The sequence below is a fragment of the Homo sapiens genome, chromosome 11, assembly GCF_000001405.40.
Source record: "Homo sapiens chromosome 11, GRCh38.p14 Primary Assembly".
In the NCBI taxonomy this organism is placed as follows: Eukaryota; Metazoa; Chordata; class Mammalia; order Primates; family Hominidae; genus Homo; species Homo sapiens.
Genome location: NC_000011.10, coordinates 83,141,792 through 83,149,336, shown reverse-complemented (window position 1 = coordinate 83,149,336; position 7,545 = coordinate 83,141,792). Strand labels below are relative to the sequence as shown.

The 7,545-nt window shown below is 39.0% G+C and overlaps 1 long non-coding RNA gene across 1 annotated transcript; it reads right to left on the bottom strand.

Moving 5' to 3' along the window:
* Positions 1–455: 455 nt before the first annotated feature.
* Positions 456–4,272, bottom strand: LOC124902726 (uncharacterized). The gene is made up of 2 exons (XR_007062803.1): positions 4,163–4,272; positions 456–647 (listed from the first exon to the last, which is right to left on the bottom strand). It is a non-coding gene; the product is annotated as an uncharacterized LOC124902726 (long non-coding RNA).
* Positions 4,273–7,545: the final 3,273 nt, after the last annotated feature.

Here is a 7,545-nt window from a genome sequence, read left to right as displayed (position 1 = left end):
AGTCAATCAGGCAGTAAATATGAGTTATCTAGTCAATCCAATAGAGCCAGATCAGCATAAACTTTTAAAAAATGTTTTATAAGGGCTGGTGCAGTGGTTCATGCCTGTAATCCCAGCACGTTGAGATGCCAAGGCAGGCAGATCACTTGAGATCAGGAGTTCATGACCATCCTGGCCAACATGGTGAAACCCCATCTCTACTAAAAATACAAAAATTAGCCAGGCGTGGTAGCAGGCGCCTGTAATCCCAGCTATTCCGGAGGCTGAGGCAGGAGAATTGCTTGAACCTGGGAGGTGGAGGTTGCAGTGAGCTGAGATTGCACCACTGCACTCCAGCCTGGAGGAGAGTGACACTCCGTCTCAAAAACAAAACAAAACAAAAGCAAAATGTTTAATAAGAACAATTGATTTGAAAGTTTTTGCTGCCTATCAATCAAGTTTAAACTCTCAATAGCTTATAGCCACAAATATTTATTTCCTCTCTCATAGTTCTATAGATTGGCTGTGGTTCTGCTGTGCTTGGCTGGAATCCACTGGGCTTGACTTCAGACTGCTGATTAGGTTCAAAGCTGCTCTACATATTTCCTCATTCTCCTTGGACCAGTGGCTACCGCAGACATGTTCTTCTCATGAAGGGTCACTGGAGTCTAAGAAAGTAAGCAGAAACGTAAGATGCCCCTTGAGATGTTGGCCTGGAACTGGCACAGTTGTCACTTTGGCCCACATCTCATTGACCAAAGCAAGTTACAAGACCAAGCACATCATTAGTTGGGAGGAGGAGATGTATCCTCTGCTTAGTCATATGAAAGACACTGAAGAGTTATGTGGTAAGGATATAGATGGAGAATGCTAATACAGGAAGTTCATGAAGCATTGGAATAATAATTCAATCTATCACATCATTTTAAAAGAGCTAAGAGTGGTCCTTACTGGCTCAAGAACAATGGTTCTGGGTATATGCAGCCCAAGACAAAATCTCTGGTCCATAAACAACTTCATTCTGCTGAGCTGGTAACCCCAGTTTCCTTGGATTCGTAAATAGAGAGACAATGAAGTAAATCAAAACCATATAGGGATCATCTGTATGTATTTGGTATTTAAAGTCCTTATTGGAGGAGAAGGGAACAAGAAAGTGGCAGCAGTAGGGGTTTGTGGCCAGGGTAAGCTGCCACTTCGCTCTGTCACCCAGGCTGACTCTTCAGCCTTTCAACCTTGTTGAGTATGTCAGCTTAAGGTGCTGTTGCCCCCACACACTGAGTCATTCTTGGAAGACGGGAAGATCCAGCAGCAGGATTTTGGCTCAGCGTGTGACAGAGCATAAAATTGAAACCCTCTATTATACATAAAATCTGTATTTTCCTCGAGACATTTGAAACCAAAGATGAGATGGAGCTAATTAAAGATGCAGCCCATTCCTGACCAGTTCAACTATTGATTTAATCAAAGTGATGAGCTCCTTAGATTCTTGACAGAAAAAAAAGGCATGCCCCGGGTCGGGGGTAGGAGGGTGTTAAATTATATACTTCAGTGCATAATTTGGTTGGCTGGTGGCATGTTTTGTTTTGTTTTGTTTTGAGACAGGTTCTCTCGCTATGTTGCTCAGGATGGTCTCCAACTCCTTGTCTCAAGTGATCTTCCTGCCTCAGCCTGCCAAGTAGTTGGGACTACAGGCACATATTGAGTCTATGTTTTTTTTAACAATATCTTGCAGACAGAAATTAAAAATTAAAAAATTTAAGATGACACAGGCAACGTGACTAAAAATCAAAGGAGAAAGAAAGGTCAATAAAAGCAAATGACCCAGATGGATTAGTGTACAAGGACATTAATAAACTACTATAAATGTATTCAAGGAATTTGAGAAGATATAAATGAATGAATAGAAAGAGAAACAATTTCAACAGAGAAATGAATCCCTAAAGCGAGAAAAAAGAACGAAATGGAAATCTCAGAAATAAAATAAAAAAATCTAAAGTTAAAAATGTAATTCAGTAAACTTCTGGCAATTATATCCTAGTCACCTTGATTACATAAGTGAGATAGTTTGACATAACTGATAGAGACTTGATAAACATCTTGATCTCATCAGCAGCACGTTAACATTCTAGCTCTGTAGTGAATCCTTTGCTCAGAGAATTTGCTTCCTTTTCTTTCTCTTGGTGCATATTTTACCTTTTACCAAAAGTCTGTTTTGGACTCATGACCTTTACATCTTCACTATCTAGAACATTTAAGAGGTATTTCTATAACAATGAAGCAAATACGTGCATTTATTTTTTAAATAGTTTTTATGTTTATAGTTTAACCCAGAAAAAATCAGCTGCTCTGTGATCACAGAGGAGCCAGGATTTTCATGTTTCTATTTATTCACTTCATTTGTAATCAAAGAAAGATTCTGTTTGCAAGTTTCTATGGTCTTATTTGTACCATCCATGAAATGTTTTTCTCCTCCTGTTACAAATCAAAGGCCTCAACAACCAAAGACTCTAAGAACTTGCTACCTCTGAATCAGAATTGTCACACCATACCTCAGATAATCTGTATTTCCAATGATACTTTCAGAGACTCTTGTTGTATTTGAGATAGGTGGTGTTTAAATAAATTGAGTATTATATTAATTTAGGCATGTCTTCTTAAAAAGTACTATTTATAATTTTAGATAACTTTGCATTTTAGATAATCTGACACTTGATCTTCCAATTCACAATTAAAAATATGTAACAGAGTAATTGATTTTAGGCTTATAAAATAATTTTACTGTTTATAAATAGTATTCCAATATTTAAAAGAACTTAAGAACTTAGAAAGGTTTTGCTTATGAGGCCAACCATTTAAAGTGCTTAAAAGCAAATAAAATGGGCTGGGCGCACTGGCTCACGCCTGTAACTTTGGGAGGCCGAGGCAGGCAGATCACGAGATCAGGAGATCGAGACCATCCTGGCTAACACGGTGAAACCCCGTCTCTACTAAAAATACAAAAACAAAATTAGCTGGGTGTGGTGGTGGGCGCCTGTAGTCCAGATACTCGGGAGGCTGAGGCAGGAGAATGGCATGAACCCAGGAAGCAGAGCTTGCAGTGAGCCAAGATCACACCCCTACACTCCAGCCTGGGGGACAGAGTGAGACTCCGTCTCAAAAAAAAAAAAAAAAGAAAAAGAAAAGAAAATGTATTGAATTTATAAATGCAATTTAAGTGTTTAAAGAAACTCAATTAATTAAGTTGAAAATAGGTTTGTTTGATAAAGATTTATTTATTCAAATTGAGTTGATTGAACATTAATAAGGTAAATTTAAATATTTTACAATATAATAATAATAAAATAATTAGCTTTATTTTAATTCAAAGTCCTTCAATTGTCATCTTAATATATGGAATATTAATTTTTTAAAACTCGTGAAAAGTCTTTCCTATTTATAAAAACAATTCTAGGGCCAGGTGCGGTGGCTCATGCCTGTAATCTCAGCACTTTGGGAGGCTGAGGCAAGCGGATCACTTGAGGTCAGGAGTTCGAGACCAGCCAGGCCAAAATGGCAAAACCCCATCTCTACTAAAAATAGAAAAATTAGCCAGGCATGGTGGTGCACACTTGTAATCCCAGCTATTTGGGAGACTGAGGCAGGAGAATCACTTGAACCTGGGAGGTGGAGGTTGTAGTGAGCCAAGACCATGCCATTGCACTCCAGCCTGGGCGACAGAGCAAGCAAGATTTCATCTCAAAAAAAAAAAAAAAAAAAATTCTAGAACAGTTTAAAAATTCTCATTAAAAAAATCCTTTGTTGAGTCAGATTAGGTAATACAAGTTATAGGTATCTCTTATTATTTGAAAATAACATATCAATTTTTTTTGTTTAAATACAACAATAATCAGCATGTTAAATAATCCAAGCTTCAGATACATTCCTGACAACCTGATATTCTTCACTTGAAACCATCAAAGAACTTGGAGGCTATGTAGTGTACTGTGGGTTCCTATTTCTTTATTCTGCAGCCAGAGCCGTCATTCTAAATATCTGCGGCAAAAACTTAAAAAAAATTTTTTTTTAATTTTTATCCCACACTACACTGATGTAGTGCTGCAAAAACTTAAACCCCTCTACAGCTTCCCATTGTCCCCAGTATCAAGTCCCAAATCCCACAAGGTACTACTTACTCTGCCCTTACCTATCCCTTAAATCTCAGGAAGCCAGTCTTCCTTGGTTCTCTCTCTATTCCAGCCACATTAGCCTCTTTTTCACTAGGGCTTTAGCCATGCCATTTCCTCTGCTTGGACTGTTTCCCTCCAGCATTCCCTCCCTGAAACATATACTTGATTATTGTCACTTTCCCAAAAAGGATTTTCCTGATACTCCAGACTTAGTGAGGGACCCCTGGGTTTAAGTTTTTGAAAAAACTTAAAAGAAATCACTTCTCTTTGTCATAGGTTGTTTAGGCAACCTTAACCCCTCCCTTCTGAAGTAAAATATATTTCAGTTGTTTATAGTATTTTGCTATTATAAACAATGACCCAACTAACACCTTTGTACATTAATCTACTACAACAGATACTGTGGGTGCCTCACTGATAGTCCCTTGGCACTCATTGTTTCCTTAAGCATAGTGAAATCTTTACTTTGACCACCTGTGACTATGCCTTAGGCTTTCTCAGTGGTAGGAGAGAGCTTGGTCCACAGGTGGGTAAGGCATTAAGAACCCCCTCTCCCCAGCAGCCCACCATCCAATGATGGATAGGAATTTGTAAATATCCCAACTTCCTTGGGTAAGGCACCGCTGAGGCAGTTTTTTTTTTTTTTTTTTGAGACAGAGTTTTCCTCTTGTCACCCAGGCTGGAGTGCAATGGCGCGATCTCGGCTCACTGCAACCTCCACCTCCCGGGTTCAAGTGATTCTCCTGCCTCAGCTTCCTGAGTAGCTGGGATAACAGGCACCCGCCACCACACCCGGCTAATTTTTTGTATTTTTAGTAGAGACAGGGTTTCACCATGTTGGTCTGGCTGGCCTTGAACTCCTGACCTCAGGTGATCCACCCGCCTCAGCCTCCCAAATTGCTGGGATTACAGGCATAAGCCATCGCGCCCGGCCTGAGACAAATTTTATATAGTCTCCTTGAGTGGGATTGAGCCTCAGTTTCCCACATTAGTAACCTTGCATTGTGTATGGTCTTCCTTCCTTTCACTTTCTCATTTCCCTACTCCTTCACCAGTGATTCTGGGGTCACTGTCCAAATAAACTACTTATACTCAATGCCTTGTCTCAGCGACTGTTTCAGGAAGAACCCGGCCTAAAACACTGTATTTGCCTATTTAGAGTCACTCAATAATTACAAAGGTGGAATTGCTAGTTCAAGGGTTAAGCATTTTAAATTTTGATATATGCCAAATGGCTGTCCACAAAAGTTGGTGTAAGAGGCTGGACACAGTGACTTATGCCTGTAATCTCAACACTTTGGGAGGCCAAGGCAAGAGGATCGCTTGAGCACAGGAGTTCAAGACTTGTGTGGGCAATATAGTGAGTCCTTGTATCTACAAAAAATTAAAAAATTAGCCAGGTGTAGTGGTGTGCACCTGTGGTCCCAGCTACTCGAGAGGCTGAGGCAGGCGGATTGCTTGAGCCTGGGAGGTCAAGGCTGCAGTGAGCCATGATTATGCCCCTGCACTCCAACCTGGGCAACAGAGCAAGATCTTGTGTCAAAAAAAAAAAAAAAAAAAAAGTTGGTGTAAGAAATGCCTATTTTGCAAGGACTACAACATTTTTATTATTTAAATGTATATTCTATTTTATTTCATATGGGATTTGAGACACATTTCTAGGGTTGATCAACTGTTAGCCAAATTACTACTAGCATCTTTTGGTAACCTGTTGAGAGAACAAAGGCTTTGAAGTCACAGAAACCCAGGTTAGAGTTCCACGTCTTACTTTTTAATTGTGTGTTAATATGACTTCTTAACTATGTGACCTTGGCAAGTTATTAATATCTCTAAGCATGAGTTTCTTTATGTCTAAAACAAGCAAAACAAACAAACAAAAAGCAATATCATACATTATTTGAGGAATAAATGTGATGATATATTTTAAAAGTAAATAATGAAACTTACTATAGTGCCTGGCAAGCAGTTAGAGCCCAATACATGGTAATTATTATTGTAGCAAAAGAACAATGACATTCATATTCATGTCCCATAGTACTAAGGACAGTAACTAGGACCTAGAAAATGCTCAAATGTTATTGAACTGAATTACCTAGTCTACACAGTTATTGTAGAGATCAAATGACAGAATGTGTATAAAAGTATTTCAAAAAAACAGAAAATATTGGAGAAATGTGGTGCTACCTCTCCCCTACCAATGAGTCAAAGCCTCAGTTTTTATTTTTCAGGAACAGTTGGCTAGATATGTGTCCCTCTTCCTGTTTCTCTCTAAAATCAATATTTTGAGGCATTTTTAGACTTCACTGTGTGAAACTACCATTTCTCCACCTATCCTGCTTGCAGCTGCCCCACTTACCTGTCAGGGGCAACTGCCTTCAGTGTGGAATCTTACTGCCAATCATCCTCAATCAAGCTCCTCTAAGCCAGTGGGTTCGTGCCACAGGCAGTCATATTGAAGCCAAGAGTATACAGTTTTGATTTGGACATTTTGAGACAGTCTAAATTTCAAATATTCTGATATTTTATTTTATTTTATTTTATTTCTTTTTGAGACAGAGTCTTGCTCTGTTGCCCAGGCTGGAGTGCAGTAGTGTAATCTCTGCCCACCTCAACCTCCTCCTCCCGGGTTCAAGCAATTCTCTTGCCTCAGACTCCCAAGTAGCTGGGATTACAGGCATGCAGCAACACACCTGGCTAATTTTTGTATTTTTAGTAGAGACGGGGTTTCGCCATGTTGGCCAGGCTGGTCCCGAACTCCTGGTTTTAAGTGATCCACCCACCTCGGCCTCCCAAAGTGCTGGAATTACAGGCATGAGCCATCGTGCCTGGCCTATTCTGATATTTGAAACCGATTTTTGTGAATTCTTATAATCCTTTTCATATAAATTTACTATTATCAATGTATTCGTTCTATCCTTGGATTTTTGTTGAATACCTATTATGAGATAAGCACTGTTACAATGTTGAACAAGACAGACATGATCCTTGTCCTCAAGAGGCAAGCTCTAGATGTGGTTTAATTTTTATGTTTTTGTAAGACTTTTCTATATGAATAAATTCACAAACTGGAAAAAAGTTTTTCAAAGCTAGTGTCCAGATTTTTCATTTGTAAAAATATGGCCACTTTAGCTGTGGAGAGACATAAAGAACAGTCCTCTCAGAAAATAGAGGAGGAAGAAAGAGAATTTTACTTTAAAACCAGGCACTTTACTTAAATTATCTAATTAAATCATAACAACTTGTGAAGAAAATGTTCTTATCTCCATTTTAAGAACTGAGACTTAGGCTAATAGTCTTGCCAAAGTCTACCACTAACAAATGCCATTACTAAAATTAGAACCCAGTGTTTCCTGGTTCCCCAACCAAAGCTTTTTCTCCAACTCCATTCTACCCCAAAGCA